This window comes from Homo sapiens, chromosome 3, assembly GCF_000001405.40.
Source record: "Homo sapiens chromosome 3, GRCh38.p14 Primary Assembly".
In the NCBI taxonomy this organism is placed as follows: Eukaryota; Metazoa; Chordata; class Mammalia; order Primates; family Hominidae; genus Homo; species Homo sapiens.
Genome location: NC_000003.12, coordinates 173,156,535 through 173,182,084, shown reverse-complemented (window position 1 = coordinate 173,182,084; position 25,550 = coordinate 173,156,535). Strand labels below are relative to the sequence as shown.

At 38.0% G+C, this 25,550-nt stretch overlaps 1 long non-coding RNA gene across 1 annotated transcript in view; it reads right to left on the bottom strand.

Annotated features, from left to right (window-relative positions):
* Positions 1-19,191: 19,191 nt before the first annotated feature.
* Positions 19,192-25,550, bottom strand: part of LOC105374220 (uncharacterized) — a 48,606-nt gene continuing 42,247 nt past the window's right edge. Inside the window, exon 3 of the long non-coding RNA XR_001741021.1 lies at positions 19,192-19,273. This is a non-coding gene — a long non-coding RNA (uncharacterized LOC105374220). The remainder of the gene's footprint in view (positions 19,274-25,550) is intronic.

Here is a 25,550-nt window from a genome sequence, read left to right as displayed (position 1 = left end):
GACACACACACACACACACACACACACACACACACACACACACACCCCATTATAATTTGGCTCTCAATTACTAAAGACAGAAGGCTAATTGGGAAAGCTAAAGCTAAATCTCTTCAAAGAGTTCTGTATCTTTATAGAGTATAGAGCCACAGCCCTGCAAAGACTGGGAGATAGAAAACAGGTCTGAAAGAGACATTCCAAGATGCAGAAAGCAATGGGTATGTCTGAAAGGCAAAAACAATGCTTCAGGACCCACAAAACTGACAAACAGACTGTAAACTAGATATATCCCAGAGTTGCAAAAGCTGGTGGTTCAGCTTTGAAGTATAGGCAGATCTCTTGAGTATTGGTAGTGCTCTGACCCCAAGCCCTACAGAAGGAATAGTCCTGATTCAATTCTCCAAACATTTGAAGATAGCAGAAAACTAAATTAAGCTAATGTTGAAATAAAGCACAAACCCAAATCAACTACAGTATATTGACCCAACCTTTGCTCTCATGGTCTGATTAAAACTGTGCCTGCCTCTACTTAGAAGCAAATGTTACTTCCTTCAGCTTCTACTATCCTTTTTTTACAAAATGTTTCACAAAAAATTGAAAGATTACAAGCAAACAAAACGCAAAATATACGAACAATGAACAAGAGAGAAAATAATCAATAGAAGCAAAGCTAGAGATAGCACAAATGTTGGAATATCAAACAAATAAGTTAAAATAACCACAATAAAAATGTTAAAGAATAAAGTAAAAATGGTGCATAATAAGTAGGAAGATTGGAAATTTCAGCAAACACATGATAACTGCATAAAGATCTAAATAGAAATGTTGCATGTATGGGAGGCCGATGTGGGTAGATCACCTGAGGTAAGGAGTTCCAGACCAGCCTGGGCAACATGGTAAAAACCCGTCTCTACTAAAAATACAAAATTAGCCAGGCATGGTGACAGGTGCCTCTAATCCCAGCTACTCAGGAGGCTGAGGCAGAAGAATCACTTGAACCCAGGAGATGGAGGTTGCAGTGAGCCAAGATCGTGCCACTGCACTGTGGCCTCAGCAACAAGAGTGAAACTGTCTCAAAAAAACAAAAAAAAAGAAATGTTGCATGTAAAAAGTTATTGATTGAAAATTATAAATTCATTGAACGAACTTATAGCAGACTGGAAAAAGCAGAAGACAGTATCAATGAATGTGAGGGCTGATCAATAAAAAGAAAAGTATCCAAATGAAACAAAGAGGAAAAGAAACAAGTAAAATTAGAAATTAAAAAGAAAAAAAATCTGACCAGAGAAAGTCAATAGATATAATTATTTAAAAATTAGTGTGTGTGTAGGTATAATATCTGTATAATAATTTCTGAATTTATTTAAAGCAACATAAACATGAACTGTACAAAACAAAAATATAAACAATGTTTTATGGAGTTGTAAAATAATACGAAAAAATAGAAAACGAGCACACAGAGCAGAAAGAAGATAAAGAAAATTATGTTGATGCAAGATACATCAAAAAATATATACCCATATTCATGTGTGCTAGCTTAATAATACCTAGTGTAATATCTAGAACCACTATCTAAAATAATATGAAAAGTTATAGCTGAAAATACATGCATGAGATAAAATGCAATCCTAAAAATGTATGCAATATACTCAAGATGAGAAACAAGAAAAGAGGGAGAAAAATCAAGATGAGAAACGTAACACATCAATAATTGCATTACATACAAACAAAATAAATACTCCAAATAAAGAATGTCAGGTTAGATTTTAAAAATTCAAGATGAAACTATGTTTAAAGGAAATTATTTGAAAACAAAAGCATGAGTAAACTGAAAGAGAAAAGGTGTGAAAAAATACCATGATAACACTAAGCATAAGAAAATTGAAGTGGGTATATTAATATAACTAGACTTTGAGGAAAAGTATCAAGACAGGTAAATTTTATAATGGGAAAACCATCAATTTTAACATAAAATAACAATGATAAATGTATATGCAACTAATAACAAGCTTTGAAATATGTGATTCAAAAATTGTTAGAACTAAAGACAAAAACACAAAAATGTGTGATCATAATTGGAAATTTTTAAGACACCTTATCAATAATTGATTTTTTAAGTACAAAAGAATGAGTAAAGATTTGTATGATTTGAACAACATTAATAACCAGCTGAATCTAACTGATATTTATAGAACATCACACCCAATCACTGTAAATTATGCATTCTTTTTAAGTGCGCATGGGACATTTTTCTAGATCAGCATTTTTCAACTAGAGGCAATTTTGCCTCCCTGAAAACATTTGGTAATGTCTCAAGATATTTTTTGATTATTGCAACTATAGGGGAGAAACTGAGATCTAGTAGAGACTTTGCTAGCTATCCTAAAATATACAGAATAACTCCCACAACAAAGTAATATCCAGTCAAATATGTCTATGCGAAGTTTGAGAAACCATGACCTACATAGATCAAGTCTCAATAAATACCAAAGAATGTAAATCAGAGTATACATTCTAGACATAATAATATTAAAACTGAAGTAACATTAGTTATGTAGAAAATCCTCAAGTTTTTGGAAACAAACCAAAATACTTCAAATAATCCATGAGTCGAAGAAATCAAAGGTAAATTTCAATAAATATTTGAACTGAATGATAAGGAAAACAAAATATAAAATATATGGAATATAGATAAAGCAGTTCTTACAGAGAAGCTTATAGCTTTAAATGAAGAAAGGCAAGTAAAATCAATGTTCCAATTTCTCCACTTAGGAAACCAGAAAAACAGTAAGCTAATGAAAACCAAAGTAAGTAAACGAACTAAAAATAATAAAAATAGGGGAAGAAATGATATAATATAAAATAGAAATATTAGAGAGAGAAAAATGAACAAATAAGTTAGTTCTTAGGAAAATTTTATAAACATCAGCAATGAAGAGAGGGAGCATCACTGTAGATTCTTATAGACAATAATAAAGATAATATGGGAGTACTTTTGTGTGAAGTATGTGACCTACTTCACACACACAAAAAGGCAAAGGGATGCTAAAAGAGCAATTATATTGTCCCTTAATATATACTGACTTAAAGAATATATATTTTTTTCCTCATGTATCAGTAACCATAGATAATCCAATGCTAGTAGGACAACTCATTGATGTTGGGGCTTTTTCTTTCCATCTTATTTCACAACCTCTGTATTTTGGTCCTTGGGTGCATTGTTAAAGATGGCTTCCCACCACATCCACACTCCAGCCTCAGGGAAGGGATAAAGAAGGTAAAGGGAAAGAGGTTGGGGGGATTTCATTTTATTCTATCACTTCTGCCCACATCACATGCGGAGAACCTAGTCATGTTGTCATCCCTAGCTGCAAGAGAAGTTGCAAATGTGTCTAGCCAAAACTTGTTACTCTAGAAAGAGGTAATTGGTATGGGGATGAAAGGGCTGGAACAGCTGCTGCTTGTATCACAGCAAATCTGCAAAGCAAATTAGATTAGGGTTCTGTACAAAAATCGAGAATAAAGTGAATTCCCTATAATGAATAGCAAAACGAGAAAGCTGAAATATTTTACTGAAAAGGAAAAGGCAAATTATAATATACACATTTAAAATTTACATTTCATTGACCCTAGAAATCTATTAATTAGATGATGCACTATTATAATCACTAAGAAAAAAAAAGTTCCTAATTAAACTATGGCATATGCTTTCCTATTATTTAGAATTTTTATTTTATACTCTTTGCAGTAACTCTTCTAGATTATGTATGCATTTTAGCACATATCACACTGCTCTCTTTCCTTTCTATGTATACAATAACTGTACTATTGCTGAATCATAATGTACTCTTCCTGATATTTTAAATGGCAATTAAACTCAATGTATGTAGTACTGGCATTGTGCATCATTCCATTTAAATGATGATATTACGAGCAGCTATGGTCAAGTTTTCACGTGAGCAGATCATTACCACTGCCTGGCCAACAATGATTATAAGATGCATTCCAAACTCAGAGATGTCCCAATGTTAAAAACAAAAAGCACATCTTCAAATGAATGAAATAGAGGAATTATAACATACTATACGTACCCTCCCATCTTCTCTCTCCCCATCTCCACTCATTTTTGTTAGCTGTTTCTTTCTGAGCAGCACAGAAAAGTGATCATGCCACCTTCCTTTAAAGAGTTGAAATTCACTTTTGCTTTGCAGTCAATATCTATGTAATTGTGATTTTATATATGCTGATCATTGTTTCTATTTCTAGATGTCATCTATAAGCATACCAAGGAAGATGAATAATATAGTAACAAAATGGAATGTAAATAATAATATCCATGACAGTACAAATATAATAATATGGTAATCAGCATTTGAGAATTAGAGGGGACAAGGAGAGATTACATAAGGCCACTAAATCCATCAACTTACATCATGAAAATGCGAGTAACGTTGTCTAACATTGACACACCAATGAAATAGAGGCTTAATATATTAAATGAATTTCAAATTTAATTAAGAGAACTAAAAGCAATAGCATGACTAGAAGAGATACGAGGACAGGGATGAGGGGGAAGAAAAAGTGTAGAAAAGATTATATTTTTAAATATTCTTTTTCATCCTTTTTTAAGACTGATTATTTTTAATGATCACTTATTATTTGCTCATTTTATATGCAATTTTTTCTTTACAAATTCCATAGATGCTTAACTTGTACACTTTTCCAGACAATTCCAATAACTAAAGTCCTTGGTAATATCTCTCCATTACTCTCTGTGGTTGCCTGTTTCCTTTGTTGTCATTGTTTTTATTTTAATTATGTGTTCAAATATTTTATCTAATTTTTTCAGAGGAAGAGCCTAAAAGCTCAAATTGGGTATACTTTTCAGGGGCATTATTGACCTTGAACTTCTCTAACCCTACATAAGAAACTCTTCTTAGCTGCTACGTTGCAGTGAACCCCAGGCTTGGTCTCCTGTTCCCAGGAATTAGCTATCATTTCTCCTAGGGTAAGCTTTCTGCCTACAGGCTTTAGTTTATTTTATCTCTGGAACTGCCTCTTATTTTCCATGACTCCAGTGATTCTAATAAACTGACAAGTATACTTTAGCTTAAATTTTGTTGTATTATAGTAGAAGCATCCTTTATAGTATTCAGTCAGGTGTCCTGGTAGAGGTAGAAGAATATGTAACACTATAATAATGTATTAGTTGTCTATTGCTATCTAACAACTTATTCCAAAACTCAATGACAAAACAACAAACATTTATTAGCTCATAGTTTCTTTGGGGGTTAAGCATCCTGGAATGTCTTAGCTGGGTGCCTCTGGCCCAGGGTCTCTCACAAGGCTTCAATCAAGGTGTTGGCTGAAAATTGGGTCATTTCATGTCTGGATTTAGGGATGGTACACTTCCAAGCTCACTCACTCATTGAAGTCTTTTTTTAAACTATTGACCAGAGTCATCAATTCCTTGTCACATGGACGTCACAAAATGTGCTAGCTTCCCTCAGAACAAACCAGCAATAGAGCAAGAGAGGATGAGATGAAAGCCACAATCTTTTTGTAACTTAATCTCAGAAGTGACACCCCATTACTTTCACCATAGTTTATTCATTAGGAGAGAGTCTGCAAGTCCGTCCTACCCTCCAGGGAAACAGCTTACAGAAGGGCTACAAGGCAGGGATTATTGGAGACCATCTTATAAGCTGTCTACCACAAGGACAAAAATAACTAATTTTTAAGGGAGTAAATTTGGTATTTAAACAAATCCCTTTTCAGTATTATAGATACATCTTTCTTTAGGTCTTTATTATTATTTTACTCAATTAAGTATATTTAGGAAGTATTTCTACATTATACTTTTTATGTTAACATCTAAATAAATAAATATATACCCTCACTGGCTTTGTTCATACATTTATCTTCTAACATAGCTACTGCAGTTTTCTCAGAACTGGTCTTAGTGAATCTCTTCTATCTAGTTTATCTTGTATACATTTTACATTGTCTTTCCTTCATAAACGATATGTTGATCATACCATTCCTCTGCCATAAAGTTTTCTTTGGATCCTTATTTCTAGCTTCTCCTTTATTTCCCTAAGCCATTCTACTTGACCAACCTAGAGGGTATGTGTTTCCCTAGAGAGCATTTTCTGCTTAAACAAGTCTGATTCTTTTTACTTCTTGGCCTTTACTCTGGTTATTTTCATGCTTCCTTGGCTTTCCCTATGTCTAACTTTCTAAAAAGTACTTTCATAATCCCTCAGAGTCTAGTTCCAGGATCATGTCTTCTACCTAGGCCTGCTTCCTAGCTAATAGGGTAATGTTTTATTACCTGTAATTTTCATTCGACAGTTAATCACACGCTATTTTGTGACAGCTCTTATATGAATATAGCCTTCAACTCTCACTAATATTTAATATAAATGTAATGCTTCTTCAGCTACATTATTAGTACCTCAAAAGCAGAAAATGGTTTTCCAGAATATTCAAATCACTCACCATGCACCTAGCTTATAGATGTCACTCAGAAAACTATGTGAAAGATTGACTTCCACAGAAATAAAATCAGAAGTTTTACCTTTAAATCCACACCTACAACCTTCTGAGGTCTAACTTAATCTATCAATGAATCTTTTCATATATTCCAATAAAATAAAACTTTTTATTAAGTATTCAAATATTTGCAAAATTTGTATCATAACTAAAACAACAATTAAAATATTCAATGAATAAATATTAATAATAACTATTGGGCAAAAGATTAGAGTAGATATTTCTCAAAAGAAAACACAAATGGCAAACAGGCATATGAAAAGGTGCTCACCATCACTGATCATCAGAGAAATGCAAATCAAAACTACAATCATCTCATCCCAGTTAAAACAGCTTATATCCAAAAGGCAGGCAATAAGACAGGCGAGGATGTGGAGAAAAGGGAACCCTCATACACTGTTGGTGGGAATGTAAATTAGTATAACCAATATGGAAAACAGTTTCAAGGTTGCTCAAAAAATTAAAAAATTGAGCTATCATATGATACAGCAATCTCACTGCTATATATACACACAACAGAAAGAAAATCAGTATATCAAAAAGATATCTGCACTCCCATATTTGTTGCAGCACTATTCTCAGTAGTGAAGATCTGGAAGCAACCTAAACGTATATCGACAGATGAATGAACAAAGAAAATGTGGTACATATACACAATAATACTATTCAGCCATAAAAAAAGAATGAGATCCTGTCATTTGCAACAACATGGATGGAACTAGAGATCATTATATTAAGTGAAATAAGCCAGGCACAGAAAGACAAATATCACATGTTCTCACTTATTTGTGAGATCTAAACGTCAAAACAACTGAACTCTTGGAGATAGGAGTAGAAGGATAGTTATCCGCATAGGAAGGCTGGGAAGGATAGTGAAGTGGTTGGGGAGAGATGGGGATGGTTAACAGATACAAAATAATTAGTTACAAAGAATGAATAAAACCTAGTGTTTGACAGCATAACAGGGTGACTATAGTCAGTAATAATTTAATTGTACATTTTAAAATAGCTTAAAAAGTAGAATTGGATTGTGTGTAACACAGAAGATAAATACTTGAGTGGATGGATATCCCATTTTCCATGGACAGTTTATTATGTATTGCATGCCTGTATCAAAATATCTCATGTACCTCATAAGTATATACACCTACTATGTACACACATAAATCAAAAATTTTAAAAAAGATAACTGTGTTGCAAAGTTCACATGGAATTAGAAAGAAGCTTTATGAAAATCAAACTTAATGACCAACCTTTGTGATCTTAGTTTTCGTAACTGTGAATGTCTAATTATCTAAGTGCACACATTCCTAAAGATATGAGGGAACAAATGAGAGGGCTACTCATAAAGGATGAGGAATGTAAGTAGGAAAATAACCATAAAGTATACTAAATTATTTAAGAATCTTAAAAATGGAAACTATAATTTAATCCTGTTTTCACTCATGAAGCAAAGTTCAGGGGAAAAGTCTGGCAGTCACATTCTCTTTGCTGCACAGGAAGCCAGGGTTACAGGCAGTGGATGGTTGCATGTTACCTTGTTGAAGGATAACCCAGTATAAGGCAATAGAAAAGAAAATAATAGGTTAGCCATACTTCAACTTTAAAGATCCCTTTTGAAGAGATCATGCTAAATCTAGAAACCTTTCAATCATTTCTGTTACAAATTACGCTTGAACAAGTCACAGCAGGACACCCAGGATCTCAAGTACTTTAAGAAAACAGGAACATCACAAGGAGGAAAACTGAAGATTTCTCTTTTCAAACACCATCTAGTTTTGAAAAACGCTAAATCTTACTAGGTTACAATGTGTTAGGTGAGGTGTCCAAGGGCAGAGAATGACTCAGTGGCAAAGCTAAGAATAAAACATGGGCTTTACACCCTAGAAAACTTTTATTTAAAATAAAAACTTCAAAACTTCAAACCTATGTGTAACTGGAAATGTTCTTAGGAATTTCCAGGTGTTTCACTGAAAAATTCCCTTCCCTTCTTTTCTCTCCTCTCTTCCTCTCTTTTTAAATTTAAAATAAGCATTTGCAAAAATGGTATGCTAAGTAAAATGCAATTAACCCCACAATATAAAAGACTTAAAGAGAGCTGGAAGAAGAAGAAATAACAGTAGGAAGGAAGAATTAAATGAAATTAACATTTGTATTTTATGCTACAGGAAGGGATTTCTTTTAGAGGACCTTGTAATGTAGTACAAAGTGTGTAATTTCTAAGATTAGAAAATATGAGTTCAAATCCCTGTACTGTCCTATGAGATCTGGGAAAGTGACTTAGTTTAAATTTCAAGGTCCTTATCTGTAATATAGATAATTGTGTAGCCCAAAACAGATGTTATATCTCTAAACTTCAAAGTCTACATAATTATTAAGTCATGTTCGGCTCCCAAGATTTTACATTATTTTCTCCTAATGTATGAAAGGACAGGGGCTAGCTCCAGGCAAAACTGTAGAATAGCCAAAATTAAATCTCGTCACTCCTCCTTTTTCCAGGTTTCTCCCTTTTCATTTTTTTTTTCATTTTTTAGAGTTTAATGTCATGTATATGAGTTTTTCTTGGTAAGATTTTACATATAGTAGAAGCACAATCTTTTATTTATTTATTATTATTATTTTTTATATATATTTTATTATACTGTAAGTTCTAGGGTACATGTGCACAACGTGCAGGTTTGTTACATATGTATACATGTGCCATGTTGGTGTGCTGCACCCATTAACTCGTCATTTACAAAATGCTCATCATCCTTTTCATTATTTCTTATACATATTTGCCAGTATCTCCTCCCTCTACAACAGATGCAAATTTCCTTTCCGCTTCTACCACCTTCTCCCTTTTCTATGCCCAAGCAAGATGAGGAGGTGTCCATACCTGCATATGTGTTCCCCTGCATAGACATATAAGAATGAAAGCTTATAGAAGAACTTAAGATCTTCCTCCCTTCTGGTAGCATTTTGTCAATGGGCTCCAAAAGACATCCCCTCAGAATACCCCAGAAAGTTTACTACTATGATACAGATTATGAATCATATAAAACAGAACAGAAGACACATCACAGCAGAACAGGAGATATTTTGGGAAAGTCAAAATTTTTGCAGCACCACTCACAGAATAAGACACCAACTACTAGCATATGCCCTACGTCTACTTTCTATTTTATTTTTTAACTGCTTAAAAATAATTTCCGGTCACATGGTTATATTTGTAAAGCTCTAACTGAACTTAAAGGAGTTCAACATTAGAACCATGAAGGCATTTATGAAACAGTGTTGCTCAACATGAGCAGTAGCCATTTTTAAATATGGACCTTCAAGTGGCATTCAATAGCAATTTGAATTAAAATATAATTCAGCTAGATTTACATTTATGGTTTGAATGACTGGCAAGCTATATTTCACTTTTTTGTCCTACAAACATTCTAAATGTGTGAAAACAATGTTTTCTGCAATATGAAGGGAAAACTAAGTGGAAATGTCAAAAGTAGCCCATTATAATATGAGTGGCTTGTCCTAGTGATGCTCTCAGATTTAAGCAATGTAGATCCTCTACTTTTAAAAACTAACAGTTGATGTAAATTAATTCAACCATTGTGGAAGACAGTGTGGAATTCCTCAAGGATCTAAAATGAGAAGTACCATTTGACCCAGCAATCCCACTACTGGGTATATACCCAAAGGATTATAAATCATTCTGCTATAAAGACACATCTACACATATGTTTACTGCAGCACTATTCACAATAGCAAAGACTTGGAACGAACCCAAATGCCCATCGATGTTAGACTGGATAAAGAAAATGTGGCACATATACACCATGGAATACCATGCAGCTATAAAAAATAATTCATTCATCTCTTTGCAGGACATGGATGAAGCTGGAAACCATCATTCTTAGCAAACTAACACAGGAACAGAAAACAAAACACCTTATGTTCTTACTCATAAGTGGGAGTTGAACAATGAGAACATATGCACACAGGGAGGGGAACATCACACACCGGGGCCTGTCAGTAGGTAGGGGGTAAGGGAAGGGATAGCATTAGCAGAAATACCTAATGTAGATGACGGGTTGATGGGTGCAGCAAACCACCATGGCACATGTGTACCTATGTAACAAACCTGTACATTTTGCCCATGTATCCCAGAACTTAAAGTATAATAAAAAATTAACAGTTGAAATATTTTTAATAGTAATTATACACCCCAACTAAGACTTCTATACTGTTCCTGTACAAGAGATTTAATAGTAACCTGGAATAGGCATAATTGTGACTTTAGTGAAACTGTTTCAGAGGTGGATTGCTATTAATATATTTTAATATTGTCAATATGCTTCTTTCCTATTTTTCATGTGCCATATGTAACCCTATTTTTGTCCAACTCCATACGTCCCAATAAATATTTATGCTCACAACTAAAATCTGTAGATGATAAAATTCAAGTTACATATGATTTATAATTTGTTTGCTGACTTTCAGTATTTATTTTGTATAAACTTTAAAACTCCATTTCCCATTTCTTGAAATATGCACCCCTTTGTTATGAAAATGCTACAACTGTATCCTCCTAAAAGATGTTTATGTATAATAAATTCCCTTGGACATTATGGAATTTTCATTTTTATGTAGGAGTCCACCATTTTTCTACAGTCATGTAATGTTTCAAACAAGATGGATCGTCATAATTTATAACTAGTTTATTCCTAGTTTTACAAATTTCTTAAGAAAGTCTTGGCATACACCTGTCTTTGCAAACCACAATTCCTAAGTGAGTGTTTTAAGACGTGAAGGTCCTCTTCTCCATGTGCCTCAATTCCCACGGCCCTCAATCCTTTGTTCTCAGTTCTCCATGTCTTTTAGTCCTCAGTCCTCATTTGAGTATGTGAAGTTCCTCTTCCCTGTGTCCCCTCAAATCTGCCTGTCTGGCCAGGAACGCTTTGCCATTTGTCACACTGCCTGCCACACCCCAGCATTAGATAAATTTCACTGCCTGTGTTCTTAGCCCCTACATCAGTGCTTCTGGGCTCTAATGGAGAAAATCACACAACTGCTTGGATTGATTTCAATTCCAGTTTATGGCTCCCACATTTACTGGGCACTCACAAATGCCTGGCAAACTTCCTGTGTTTCTCTAGGCAGCCCTCTCTCCCAGTCTCAAATTGGCAATTTCAAATGTTCTCCCTTTCCTCACACCTCCCACTCCATCTCCTAATCTGTCATTCTCAACACTAGGCCTCTCCTATTCAGAGAGAGAGCGCCTTAAACTGCACTATTTTTCCTGAGAGGTGCTGGCCCCACCTTTGTCTGGGACCACAGCTCTCCCTTCCTCAGAGGACTTGGTCTCACACTCATGCCCTTCCCTTCCTGCTTCTTTAACACTCTTCTGCTTACTGTTTTCTTCCCACCAGCACTTACCCTATCCAAGTCTTACGGATATTAAAATGAATGTTCTTGACCTTTCCTGTACTAGTTACTTCCACTTACTCTCCTCCCACACATTTGTCAATTTCTTGCATCTCACACCATCCCCAAACTACTAAAACTGCCTGTATCCAGCCACCAAGATCTCCTTTTATTGAATCCAATAAAATGCTTCTTAATTCTATTCTTGATCTTTCAAGTCCACATGATATTTTTGATTTGTCTCTCTTCTTTGTTAAAATTCTCCCTCTTGGTGTCTTCTATGACACTACGCTCTCCTGATTTTCTTCCCTCAGTGTTCCATGCTCTTTCTTGGTCTCCAATCAAGCGGCTCTGCCTATTCTTTTAAGGCAGACAGGCAGAAGCTCCACTCTTAGCGTGCTTCTCTTCTTAATGTTAAACATTTTCCGTGGATGATTCAATCCACTTCCAAGACTCACTTACCACCTATATGCTGATAACCTCCAGAATTATATAGCCTAGATGTCTCTGCTGAAACTCAGACCCATATATACAACTGTTCATGAGATTTTTTTAACTGAGGCATGTAATAAAGTCCTAAAATTCATATGATGAAAGCATAACTCATCAGGTACTCATCTGGCCTGTTGCAAACCCATCTATTCTCTCATGGTTCTCTGTGAATTTCTCTGGCTTGGTAAATTACATCCCAAATTCTCCCAGTTTCTCAAGATGCAAATATGTACATATGTATGTACAAATTGAGATCTATAGTATAGAGATATTATTTTTATTTTTCTAAAATCATTTTACATTAAACACAAAATTGTATAATTTTTCTTCTCAGTAAACCATGAATCTGTCCATTTCTCTCTATGCCCACTACTGCTTGCCAAATTCGTGCAACCATAATCACTCTCCTAGATTATTGGCACAGCTTTTAAGCTTGTCTCCCTGCCTCCAATGTGGCCCTCCTTCCATACTGAACACTGCAGCCAGAGTTATCTTTTTTTTTTTTTTTTTTTGATATGGAGTCTCGCACTGTCATCCAGTCTGGTGTGCAGTGGTGTGATCTCGGCTCACTGCAACCTCCACCACCCAGGTTCAAGCAATTCTCCTGCCTCGGCCTCTGAGTAGCTAGGATTATAGGCGCCTGCCACCATGCCTGGCTAATTTTTTGTATTTTTAGTAGAGACGGGGTTTCACAATGTTGGCCAGGCTGGTCTTGAACATCTGACCTCGTGATCCACCTGCCTCAGCCTCCCAAAGTGCTGGGATTACAGCCGTGAGCCACCCCGCCTGGCCCAGAGTGATCATTTTAAAACACAAATCTTTGTAAGTACTCCAATATCTTCCTACCATACGCAGGAATTTCTAACCTCCTGAGCATGACATTCAATTCCATCACAGTCTATTCCCCCTGCTTCTCATCCCTTGCCACTGCTGGCTTTTTTTGCCCACTATCCCAGGTAGTTGAACTCCTTGAAATCCCCTGTAAGTGCTGTGTTCTCTTTCTTCTCAAACCTTAGCACATGTTGATAACTCTATCTAGAATGCTAGTGTCTGCCTACTCAGCCTGCCCTCTTCCTCTGTGTAATTCTCCAACTATTTCCCCAGTCTTAATTCAGAGATTGCCACCACAGGAAACCTTTCTGCTGCATCCCCCGCCGTAGGTTGGTTGCTCTCCACAGTAGTCCTTCAGTGCCCTGTGCTTTCTCTCTTAATTAACATATATACTGCATCATGAGATTGTATTAAGTTGAATTTTTTTTTCCTTTCACTAGCATCATGACAAGGCTGAAGTAAGTGCTAAGTAAACAGTTTCAAATGAATGAAAACGCAGTCATCCCACAAACAGGTATTTGTTATCCAAGAGTTTATACATTATGCATGGTTCATTTTCAAAGAAATGTGGAAGAGAAGGGAACATGTGTGTCCTCCTTAGATAAGTGAGAATATTCATTCAAAATGAGAGAATTAAAATATGTGATAATCTCTCAGCATATGGGGCAGACAGGTGTATATGGACCCTGGATGTGCATTACCCAGGCAAGTAAGTTGTACTTTTGTACCCAGGCAAGTCAAGAGTTTAGGCATCTCTTCCTTGCCATCAGTAATAAGGCCCACTGGACCCATGGGTTGACGAGGGAAATGTCAGCAGTTGCAATACACCAGTATATGGCTTATGTTCTCTAGTTCATAGGCTTCACCTACTAAATGGTGCATGACCATCATTTTTTCAAGCAGCTGAAGATTAAAACATACTGAGAACAGCACCCTAATTAAATGTCACACTTATTACTACTAAAACTTTAAAATTCTTCTATTAGTTTTATTTATCCATTTTAATACACAAACTACAAAGTTATTCAACTCCACTCCTAAGCCAGACACAATTTTAGCATTTTTCTGTCTTAAATAAAAAGCCTCACAGGCTTCTCTTTCTTCTTTTTCTTCTTCTGGTAACCTAACTTTTATATCTATAACTCTATGTAGCATCTTCAGGTCTATTCAAGGATTCACCTGATGACTTCTTATGTCAGTATTAAAATGTCACACAATTTTTTAAATCATAGAAGTGATATTGCAACCTGTGCAAAAAAAGAAAAACTAACACCTTTTTTATCCCATGCTGCATGGGTAGCAAACTACCCAGCCTCTGTCTTTATAAACTGATGTTCTATTTTTCACTAAGATGCCCTACTTGCTCAGCTCAACCTGTTGAGATAGAATAGGTTATCTACTGTTATTTAGGGTTGCCAGATAAAGTACAGGATACTAAGTTAAATATGAATTTCAGGTAAATAATGTATAGTTTTGATATAAATGTGTCTCTGATATTGCTTGGGACATACTTATACTAAAGATTATTCATTGTTTATCTAAAATTCAAATTTAAATGGTCATTCTATAATTTTATGTGTTAAATCTGGCAATCCTATCTGTGTGGGTGACTGTCAGGAAGTATCATCTCAAAAATCACTTTCTACTTTCTAACCAGCCACATCCTACCCACTCCCACCCCTGTTTCATCTTTACCTGAAAAGCCCTGCTATGCAAGCTTCCATTCAGAGATGCAACAAGAAAGTGCTTAGCTCTCCAAGTTCAAGCTCAGCCTCCTCATTTTCTATTGAGAGAACAAGGTTCAGAGTTCAGTGGCCTGAACAAGACCACATGGTGATGGGATAGTGAAACTGAGAAGGGTGCCACTTTTGTTATTGTTGCTGCTGCTGTTAGCTACAAGCCCAGCATTCTATCCACTACCTGAAGGTTGTAGACAGTAAAAAACAGTGTAATTATTTTTTTTCAATATGCCATTGACAAAATGCAGCTAAGCTTGGTTGGGTAGGAGACGGCTATTGATCCTTCCTCAGAAAGCCTAAAAGTCATCTTAATATCTACTTAATTGAATGCATTCAATATAATGTGAAGCAAATGAATGGCTAACCCAGGAATAAGGATATGGGTATGGACCTGCAGCAAGAGGATGTGAAAAAGAGAGTTAGTAGCTGAAGATGTCTACATATCCATGGAAACAGAAAAGCCCCTGGGGACCCGAATGAGTCCCCCTCAGTACTATATGGAAGTCTATATCCCAGTGATAGGCTATGTGTGGCACACCTGATACTCATCAGTGTAAAGACATATCTGAAAACAATCAATATAAAGTAATACACATACATCGGAACACATTAAACCTATTTACGCTTGAAGACAACTGTTTTTGTGGGGTCAAAATCTGAACCTGTTCTCCACAAGAGCTCTCACTCCACTCCTCTAGCATGGCAAAAGTAAAACATCCATCTATATGACATCTGTTATGTTTTCATAATGCTCAATATAATTTTAATACTGTAAAATCACAAGCATGAGATTCTCAAGATCACACTCTGTGATTATTAATTTTATGTGTCAACTTGACTGGGACATGGAATGCCCAGATATTTGGTTAAACATTATTCTGGGTGTGTCTGTGAGGATGTTTCTGGATAAGATTAACATTTGAACCAGTAGACTGATTAAAGTAGATTGCCCTGCCAAAGGTGGGCTGGCCTCATTCAATCTGTTGAAGGCCTGAATAGAAAAAGAAAAAAAATTGCTGAGAAAGAAAGAATTTCCTCTCTGCTTGCGTGCCTTTGAGCATCAGTTTTCTACTGCCTTTAGACTGGAACTGAAATATATGTCATTGACTCTCCTGGTTCTCATGCTTTCAGACTGCGGACCTTAGCCTCCATAGTCACATAAGCCAATTTCTTATAATAAATGTATCTATTTCTATCTGTCTATCTATTGATCTACTCTGTATATCTAGTCTTTGGTTGGTTCTATTTATCTGGAGAGCACTGATTAATACAACCTCCCTTGCCCTTCAGCTCCTGAAGGATTCAGTCATCAAATAAATGGATGAAGTTTATATTCTGAATGGATCAAGGCCTCAGCATGGATGAAGATCAGGATCTGTCTATTGTCTGTCCTGAGAGTGAGCTTAAAACAGGTGGCTTTTCTGAGATATAACGTAAAAATTTAGCAGATAGCCATGTGCTTAGGAACAAGAAGGAATACCAGGCCTACATTATGCTGGTGACTACAGCTGATGTGATATAAACAGGCACATGAGAAAGCTGGTGTCCATAATCAGAGGAACCTAGTGACTATGCCAACTGTAGAATCTGACTTGGAACTAAATAGCCAACCAAAAGAGGATTCAGTACACTTATAAATATAATTCATAAAATTAAAGACAAACAGAAATAGATTAGGGGCAGTGGATAGAGACATCTAAGACTGAAGCCAGAGGTTTCTGCCAAGAAGGATACATATGATGTGCTGGAACCAGCTCTTACTAGTTTCTGAGAGCTGACTGTGTACCTCTCTTCCCACCTCCATCTACAGTGACCTCATGTTGATAACTTGAAAGTGAAAATGACCAGAGTAGGAGTATTTATACATGGAAGTTCACAAAGGCTACATATCAGTATTATTTTTTGTTTTTGAGAGCTAGTTTACAAGCACAGCACTGTTCACTACCTAAAATCCAGTGAAGGAAACATGACAGGGGACAGTACAGGACCAACAGGCCAGGCCTAGGATGCTTTCAAAGAAGGTGTACATGTAGATACGTTCCTTGGAGTAGGAGAGGCAGACCCAGAAGTAGAATTGTAAAGAAGGATCTGACATAATTTCCCCAGACCTAGAAGCCCTACCTATCCAAATCTAACTCAGAATAGATATCCAGGAAGTTTATCTCAAATTACTTTGAGGCAGAGGAAAGGGAGAAAGTGTGACCTTTAAGTAATATTCAGAAATCAATGCTAAAACATGTCCATTTTTATTTTTGTTTGCTTCCTGAACTTTCTTTTGAAAAATTCAAATCCTGTATTTGCTGTTCTAGGAAATATTATTTCAAAAGTTTAGTCAGTATAGCCCCAAACGAGGTTGCCAGAGCTAGTGGAGGAAAAATAAGCAAAAAGAATGTAAAGTTAAACTCAGCTTGCTTCTAAATAGAAACTAATAGCTATTTGACAAACTACAGCTATACCTGAAATTTGCAAAACTGCATCCAGAGGCTCTATGGGACATGCACACACTAGTGAAGATCCCAAATGTAATAATGAAGGCTTCAGACCGCATCCTCAGGGATAGCCCCTGAATTTGTTCAATAGTATCAGAATTGCCCATTAATTTGCTTTTTCTGTAACTCTAAGACAGGAACAAACCTTGAACAATCCGTGTTTGCATGAGCAAGAAAATAATTGCTTTAGCACTTTAGCAGGAGGTAATTATCTAAGCTTATTCCAAAGAAAAGGAAATTTCTTGCATTTTCTGTACCAGTTTTGCCAGTCCTGATAAAGACCTCTGATTATGAAATTGCTCTGTATGTGCAAGACACAGCCTTTAGCTCTTTGGCTTAGATAAGAAACCATTTCATTTACTATTCCAAATGTAATAGCCATTTACAGGATATGTAAAAGAATGTTTAGGGATAACATCAGAAATAAGTATGTATACATTTGTGTGTGTGCTGATTTTTCTACTTTGAGCTTATGTAAAAGCCTTTTTGATATTTCTTTAAAAAATTCACACAAGTCACAATTCAAGAGAATACTCATTTAAAAAGTATGTATAGATATAGTGTTTTAAACAAGAAAATCGTATTAGTCATCAATTAATTCAAAGCCTAAATGCTACAGATGAAGAAACAGCTGGTTTGCTCATGAAAGAGCTCAACTCTAATCTTCTGGCTCTGAATATAGTGTTCTTTCTAGTACTATAATACATTTCTTCCCTGAAAAGAAATGGCAACCTAAAACCTATTGACTGAGGTGTGTAAAACACTGACTATGGAGATATTTAGAAATTCAGGTGAAGTGGGAGCAAAGCAGGTTAACTGAAAGCCAAACACGATGATACCTGGATAATCCTGTCTCCTATTTTCAGCAACCTAAGAGAACCTCAGCCGGTAATCTCAATTAGGGTCGTCTGCAGAAACCTCTATTTCTTCCCCTACATTCATGCTGAGTAACTTTGACTAAGTAATCACAGCTGCCAAATACAGGACAGGGCACTTTCTAAAATCCCTTCTTCCTATAAAATGTTCATGTCTAACCCCATGGCCACTTTCCCATTTATCCGTTTGAGTATTTTACTATTCACTGGCTCACCAGGTAACTCTGTTACCTGTGTTAAAAATGCTAGGGAGTCTGTACTGTATTTGCCCGGCATTTGCAATAAAATGTCTTACTCTTTTTTGGTGCATGAGAGGTCTTTATACACACCAACATAGAGTGTTGTACCTGTATTTTTATAGGTACAATCTTGCTTTAAATTTCTTGTCCTTAATATTATTTCATGCTTTCTGGGACAATGACCCTTGATGCATTACATTATTGTATTAATTGTTTTGATGATTAAAAACAAAGCAAGTTCAGAAGGTTTTCATTCTGACATCATTTATTCTATTTCTAGTTTATACTGACCTGTGTCTGAAAACTACTTGTGATTATAAAAATTAAATCAATATGAAGAAGTTACTGGATCTGATTATGCCAGTGTAGCTCTGCACAATTCCCAAAGATGCCATTCACACCATACTGGATGTGGATGGCTCCCCCTCAAGTATGTACAACCTGCATGGCCATACACAGTGGTGTCATCTCCTATGGGGCTCATTTTCCTATCATTACTTATAGAGCATAAGAGCAAATTCCATGTAAAAGTTTTACACTCTGCAGCAACTACTTACTTGCTTCCTTTTTGTCCCATTTTGCAACTCCTCTCCTGAGTCTCAAATATATAGACTCCATAGCTAACAAAACTTCAACTACTTGATCTGTGGAGACAGAGGGAAAATTGTCTGCTCAAGACTATCAAAAGTAGGAATCTCTTAAGTAGGAAGATATGATTTCAAAATCCCCATTCAATTACTTGAACATGTTATTTATGGACTCTAAGCCTCATTTTCTTCAGTGGTAATATAATGGTAGTAGAACCTCAGTTTTTTCACTCAGTTACTGCAATGATATTAAGTCAAAAAGAAGTCAGCACGGTTTCTGCCATATGCAGGGGCTTGAGAGATATTTAAGGACCCTGAAGGTATTCCTGTGATAGCCCTGAGATTTAGCTCAAACATTGACTTAAGGACCACCATTCACTCTGTTAACCTAAAGGACTCAAGCATAGCAGGCTGTCCACTCACGGAAAAATCAATGTCAAAACAAGGAAACTGGAAAAAAAAAACACAAACAAACACATCACAGTAGAAGAAATATAAATTAACACTTGTAATTTAGGGAACACAAATGTAAACAACAGAAAAATTTCTTACCTATTAACAAAAATAAAAAATATTGATGTTAAGAAAGTTAAAATGAAATACTATCACACACCACTACCAGGACTATTAATTGGCATCATTTTTTGGTAAAGCAATGTGACAGCAGAACACAGGACCATTAAAAAGTTAATGCTCCTTGACTTAGGAATTCTATTTATAGGAATAATCCTAAAGAACCCAGAGATGCACATAAAAAGGTATGCATAAAAATAAATATACATGGAAAAATTGGAAAAAACCCTTATATCTCTAACAAAATAATGGTACATCCATCCAATACAATATAATGCAGAAACTAAAATAATTTTTAGCAGAATGTTAAATGGCACGCAACAAAAATGTACCCTACCTAGTGTTGAGTGAGGAAGGCAAAGTAGATTTCTAATTTATGCAAAATGGCAGGGTGGGCTTTCAGGGAAAGTATTCCTGGTATAGCACACCTAGAAATGCTGTATAAAATAGAAAAATATCACTTTAATGCATAGCTGAACTTGTAGGAAATTAAGGGAATTAATTATTCAGAAACTAGAAAAGAGGAGTAAAGACAAATCCACTGAGGTAGGTGAGCACTTGAATTTACATTTTCCTGGGTACTTGCTACTGTGTCCAGAGATTGTGTTCTACTAGGCCACAGATGCTACAGTCAAGAGACAAAGCCTGGGGTGCTAGGAGGGATCAGAGGTAGACAAGAGACTTCTGCGTTACCTAAAGGATACCATTTCCAGAGACTGATTCAAATATAAAGGTACCTTGCAAATAAAATTGTCAGGCCTCTGAACCAAAGCTAAACCATCATATCCCCTGTGACCTGCACGTACACATCCAGATGGTCGGTTCCTGCCTTAACTGATGACATTCCACAACAAAACAAGTGAAAATGTCCTGTTCCTGCCTTAACTGATGACATTACCTTGTGAAATTCCTTTTCCTGGCTCATCCTGGCTCAAAAGCTCCCCCACTGAGCACCTTGTGACCCCCCCCAACCCCTGCCAGCCAGAGAACAACCCCCCTCTCTGACTGTAATTTTCCTTTACCTACCCAAATCCTATAAAATGGCCCCACCCCTATCTCCCTTCCCTGACTCTCTTTTCGGACTCAGCCTGCCTGCACCTAGGTGAAATAAACAGCCTTGTTGCTCACACAAAGCCTGTTTGGTGGTCTCTTCACACAGATGCATGTGAAATTTGGTGCCATGACTCGGACTGGGGGACCTCCCTTGGGAGATCAATCCCCTGTTCTCCTGCTCTTTGTTCCATGAGAAAGATCCACCTACAACCTCTGGTCCTCAGACCAACCAGCCCAAGGAACATCTCACCAATTTTAAATCCGGTAAGCGGCCTCTCTTTACTCTCTTCTCCAGTCTGTCTCACTATCCCTCAACCTCTTTCTCCTTTCAATCTTGGTGACACACGTCAATCTCTTCCTTCTCTTAATTTCAGTTCCTTTCCTTTTCTGGTAGAGACAAAGGAGATGTGTTTTATCCATGAAACCAAAACTCCGGCACTGGTCACAGACTCGGGAAGACAGTCTTCCCTTGGTGTTTAATCATGCAGGGACACCTGCCTAATTATTCACCCACGTTTCAGAGGTGTTTGACCACTCTGGGACGCCTGCCTTGGTCCTTCACCCTTAGCGGCAAGTACTGCTTTTCGGAGGGGCAAGAATTCCCCGACCCCATCTCTCCGTGTCTCTACTCCTTCTCCACTTTCCTGGAGGGCAAGCACCCCCTTCCCCTTCTCTCAATGTCTCTACCCCTTATCTGCTTTTCCAGGAGGAAAGAACCTCCTGACTCCTTCTCTCCATGTCTCTACCCCTTCTCCACTTTCCTGGGGGCAAGCACCCCCAACCCCTTCTCTCCATGTCTCTCTCTTTTCTCTGGGCTTGCCTTCTTCACTATGGGCAGCCTTCCACCCTCCATTCCTCCTTCTCCCTGTGTTCTCAAGAACTTAAAACCTCTGCAACTCAACCTGACCTAAAACCTAAATGCCTTATTTTCTTCTACAATGCCGCTTGAACCCAATACAAACTTGACAGTGGTTCCAAATAGCCAGAAAATGGCACTTTTGATTTTTCCATCCTACAAGATCTAGATAATTCTTGTTGTAAAATAGGCAAATGGTCGGAGGTGCCTGATGTCCAGGCATTCTTTGACACATTATTCCCTCCCTAGTCTCTGTTCCCAATGCGACTCATCCCAAATCCTCCTCCTTTCCCTCCCGCCTGTCCTCTCAGTCCCAACCCCAAGTGTCCCTGAGTCTTTCTAATCCTCCTTTTCTACAAACCCATCTGACCTCTCCCCTTCTCTCTAGGCTGCCCCTCGCCAGGCCAAGCCAGGTCCCAATTCTTCTTCAGCCTCTGCTCCCCAATCCTATAATCCTTTTATCACCTCCCCTTCTCACACCCGGTCTAGCTTACAGTTTCGTTCCGAGACAGCCCTCACCCACCTGCCCAGCAATTTCCTCTTAAAAAGGTAGCTGGAGCTAAAGGCATAGTCAAGGTTAATGCTCCTTTTTCTTTATCCGACCTCTCCCAAATCAGTTAGCTTTTAGGCTCTTTTTCATCAAATATGAAAAACCCAGCCCAGTTCATGGCCCGTTTGGCAGCAACCCTGAGACGCTTTACAGCGCTAGACCCTAGAAGGTCAAAAGGCCGTCTTATTCCCAATATACATTTTATTACCCAATCTGCTCCCAACATTAAATAAAGCTCCAAAAATTAAATTCCGTCCCTCAAACCCCACAACAGGACTTAATTAACCTCACCTTCAAGGTGTACAATAATAGAGTAGGGGCAGCTAAGTAGCAACATATTTCTGAGTTGCAATTCCTTGCCTCCACTGTGAGACAAACCCCAGCCACATCTCCAGCACACAAGAACTTCCAAACGCCTGAACCGCAGCTGCCAGGGATTCCTCCAGAACCTCCTCCCCCAGGAGCTTGCTACAAGTGCCAGTAATCTGGCCACCGGGCCAAGGAATGCCCGCAACCTGGGATTCCTCCTAAGCTGTGTCCCATCTGTGCAGGACCCCACTGGAAATCGGACTGTCCAACTCGCCCGGCAGCCACTCTCAGAGCCCATGGAACTCTGGCCCAAGGCTCACTGACCAATTGCCTCAGAAGCTTCCTGGACCATCACAGACGCTTTAGGTAACTCTCACAGTGGAGGGTAAGTCCGTCCCCTTCTTAATCAATACGAAGGCTACCCACTCCACATTATCTTCTTTTCAAGGGCCTGTTTCCTTTGCCTTCATAACTGTTGTGGGTATTGATGGCCAGGCTTTTAAACCTCTTAAAACTCCCCAACTCTGGTGCCAACTTTGACAATACTCTTTTAAGCACTCCTTTTAGTTATCACCACCTGCCCAGTTCCCTTATTAGGACGAGATATTTTAACTAAATTATCTGCTTCCCTGACTAGTCCTGGGCTACAGCTACACCTCACTGCTGCCTTTACCCCCAGTTCAAAGCCTCCTTCACATCCTCATCTTGTATCTCCCCACCTTAGCCCACAAGTATAGGATACCTCTACTCCCTCCTTGGCAACCGATCATGCACCCCTTACCATCTCATTAAAACCTAATCACCCTTCCCCTCCTCAATGCCAATATCCCATCCCACAGCATGCTTTAAAAGGATTAAAGCCTGTTATCACTCGCCTGCTACAGCATAGCCTTTTAAAGCATAAACTATCCTTACAATTCCCCCATTTTACCTGTCCTAAAACCAGACAAGACTTACAGGTTAGTTCAGGATCTGCGCCTTATCAACCAAATTGTTTTGCCTATCATCTACCCCATAGGACCAAACCCATATACTCTCCTATCCTCAATACCTCCCTCCACAATGAATTATTCTGTTCTGGATCTCAAACATGCTTTCTTTACTATTCCTTTGCACCCTTCATCCCAGCCTCTCTTGGCTTTCACTTGGACTGACCCTGACACCCATTACGCTCAGCAAATTACCTAGGCTGTACTGCCACAAGGCTTCACAGACAGCTCCCTTTACTTCAGTCAAGCACAAATTTCTTCCCCATCTGTTACCTATCTCGGCATAAGTCTCATAAAAACACACATGCTCTCCCTGCCGATCATGTCCGACTGATCTCTCAAACCCCAACATCTTCTACAAAATAACAATTCCTTTCCTTCCTAGGCATGGTTGGATACTTTCGACTTTAGATACCTGGTTTTGCCATCCTAACAAAACCATTATATAAACTCACAAAAGGAAACCTAGCTGACCCCATAGATCCTAAATCCTTTCCCCATTCCTCTTTCTGTTCCTTGAAGACAGCTTTAGAGACTGCCCCCACCCTAGCTCTCCCTGACTCATCCCAACCCTTTTCATCACACACAGCCAAAGTGCAGGGCTGTGCAGTCAGAATTCTTACACAAGGACTGGTACCATGCCCTGTAGCCTTTTTATCCAAACAACTTGACCTTACTGTTTTGCCTAGCCCTCAAGTCTGTGTGCGGTGGCTGCCACCACCCTAATACTTTTAGAGGCCCTTAAAATCACAAACTATGCTGAACTCACTCTCTGCAGCTCTCATAACTTCCAAAATCTATTTTCTTCCTCACACCTGACATATACTTTCTGCTCCCTGGCTCCTTCAGCTGTACTCAGTCTTTGTTGAGTCTCCCACAATTACCATTGTTCCTGGCCCAGACTTCAGTCCGGCCTCCCACATTATTCCTGATATCACACCTGACCCTCATGACTGTATCTCTCTGATCCACCTGACATTCACTCCACTTCCCCATATTCTTATGTGTTCCTAACCCTGAACACACTTGGTTTATTGATGGCAGTTCCACCAGGCCTAATCGCTACTCACCAGCAAAGGCAGGCTATGCTATAGTATTTTCCACATCTATCATTAAGGCTACTGCTCTGCCCCCCTCCACTACCTCTCAGCAAGCCGAACTCATTGCCTTAAGTCAAGCCCTCACTCTTGCAAAAGGACTACACATCAGTATTTATACTGACTCTAAATATGCCTTCCATATCCTGCACCACCATGCAAGAGGTTTCCTCACTACACAAAGGTCCTCTATCATTAATGCCTCTTTAATAAAAATGCTTCTCAAAGCCACTTTACTTCCAAAGGAAGACAGAGTCATTCACTGCAAAGGCCATCAAAGGGTATCAGATCCCATCGCTCAGGACAATGCTTATGCTGATAAGATAGCTAAAAAACCAGCTAGCGTTCCAACTTATATCCCTCACTTTCAGTTTTTCTCCTTCTCATCTGGCTACTCCCACCTACTCCCCTGCTGAAACTTCCACCTATCAATCTCTTCCCACACAAGGCAAATGGCTCTTAGACCAAGGAAAATATCTCCTTCCAGCCTCACAGGCCCATTCTATTCTGTCGTCATTTCATAACCTCTTCCATGTAAGTTACAAGCCACTAGCCCTCTCTTAGAACCTCTCATTTCCTTTCCATCATAGAAATCTATCCTCAAGGAAATCACTTCTCAGTGTTCCATCTGCTATTCTACTACTCCTCAGGGATTATTCAGGCCTCCTCCCTCCCCTACACATCAAGCTTGGAGATTTTCCGCCGCGCCCGCCCACCCCCGGACTGGCAAATTGACTTTACTCACATGCCTCGAGTCAGGAAACTAAAATACCTCTTGGTCTGGGTAGACACTTTCACTGGATGGGTAGAGGCCTTTCCCACAGGGTCTGAGAAGGCCACCACAGTCATTTCTTCCCTTCTGTCAGACATAATTCCTCGGTTTGGACTTCCCATCTCTATACAGTCC